This window comes from Homo sapiens, chromosome 9, assembly GCF_000001405.40.
Source record: "Homo sapiens chromosome 9, GRCh38.p14 Primary Assembly".
NCBI classification, from domain to species: Eukaryota; Metazoa; Chordata; class Mammalia; order Primates; family Hominidae; genus Homo; species Homo sapiens.
In genome coordinates, this window is record NC_000009.12 from 31,736,097 (window position 1) to 31,737,868 (window position 1,772).

General features: G+C 31.5%; 1 annotated feature.

Moving 5' to 3' along the window:
* Positions 292–1,269: an enhancer, noted in NCBI's record as "OCT4-NANOG hESC enhancer chr9:31736386-31737363 (GRCh37/hg19 assembly coordinates)". NCBI's record gives its function as "activates a minimal SCP1, AML or CMV promoter by ChIP-STARR-seq in primed H9 embryonic stem cells {active_cell/tissue: H9 hESC(primed)}" and the evidence as "EXISTENCE:reporter gene assay evidence [ECO:0000049][PMID:30033119]".

Sequence of the window (1,772 nt, forward strand, 5' to 3'; positions counted from 1 at the left end):
TATTGACTTAAAAGACAACTTCCTTTTAGTTATCTTAAAACATAATCTTATTTCATAACTGAAATAAATGTAATTGAAATAGTCATTTAATTTTTATTGTTTCTATGTTCAATGGAATACTTCTGTTAATTTAATAGCTTAAAATTGTTCATATGTAATAGAAATTATTTATGCATGTATACATGAGCATATAGGCCGAACTACTTCAGGTGAGAAATCAGGGTGGATTTGTTATGGGGCTATGTGTTTGATTGAGTGTGTGTGTGTGTATGTGTGTTTATGTACAAATTTTTTTTTCAATCTAAATGTCATCTTTAAGCATTTATTCTATTTCCTTTACTTCCCTAGAGGGATTAAGACAATTTCTCCTTTGGTACCTCTATCAACATGCCTTAAGTAAAGCTTCAGCATGTTAAGTCATGAAATTCTTTCAGTTTGCTCTAAAGTCTGTAAAAGAGGCAATTCTGAAGCTTCAAATGCTTAAACCCTTAATGTAAGATTTGACATTTAGAAAGTAGGTCAAGTGCCCTAGTACTGTTTTGGCATACATCAATCTATTATTTAGAAACAATTTTAGCCACTAGGCATCACAAATGAGCCTTAAGTCTATTTCTAATACTCCCTGTATGTTTTTCTACTTAAGGGGCTAGGGCTTTAAATAATATTGAGCATGGAAGGAATTTTAAAAGCTTAGTCCTTAGCCTCTTTTCAAGACTTTTAACAAATTCTTTTGTAAGTTCTGTTAGTATTGCAAAGAGGGGGAAATAGAAATCAGAATTAGAGTCCTGTTTCTACCTAATTGTGTTGACATTTGACATGTTAGTAGGCTCCTTTGTGAGTTAATTTCTACATCAAAAAGAAGCTAATTACCCAAGGATTTGAAAGGGAAATAGTGCCCCTATGACCACCCAAATTACAATGATCATCACAGTATGCAAGCCATTTCAAAGATTCAAAACCTAGTTCTGAATTCATTGAACTATCAAAGTGGGATAAATAGTCCTAGGTAACTTACATAAGATCAGGGAAGATTGTATATCCTCTCTCGTAACTTATATACAGCCATCCCCCTACCACTACTTCTGGCTCATCTTCTCCCAAATGCAGTTTTTTTCTTCTCTTACTCAATATTTTCTCAGTCAGTCCTGTTCTTTGAGGTAATTAATTTAGATCTGTAATACTATTACTTTTCCTATAGACACCAGTCTATTATGTTTTTCTGAGATCCCTTTCTAAGACTGTTTTCCATTTGGGCTATAATCCCTGAATCACAGGATTTTTTCCATGCTTGCTTTACCTTTTTAAATAGATTGTTCATTTTATGTAATAATTAAAGACTTTATGCAGTTGTATCTAAAACATATAAAATAAGAGAGTACATGGCTCTCTTAAAATTTGAGATCAGGCGTATATGGAGATTGAAAAAAAAACTGAAGAAAAACCTCTTCTCGGAAAAGATGTAGTAAAAATTAAATCAACATAATCATGTTATTGGAAACAATGAGAGATTCACGTCCTCTTAAATTTTCTTTTTGCCTTTTATATCTTTTTCTTGCATTATTGCACTAGATAGCACCTACAGCAAAATACTGAATGGAAGTGTTTATAGTGAATATCTTTGCCTTATTCAAGCATGATTTGTGCATGAGAAATCCAAAGAAATCTTAAAACAATCTATTGCAATAACAGAATTTAACAAATTTGTAATATACAAAGTCAAAATACAAAAAGCAATTGTATTTGTGTTCCCAAGCAATGTAAACTTAAAAAAA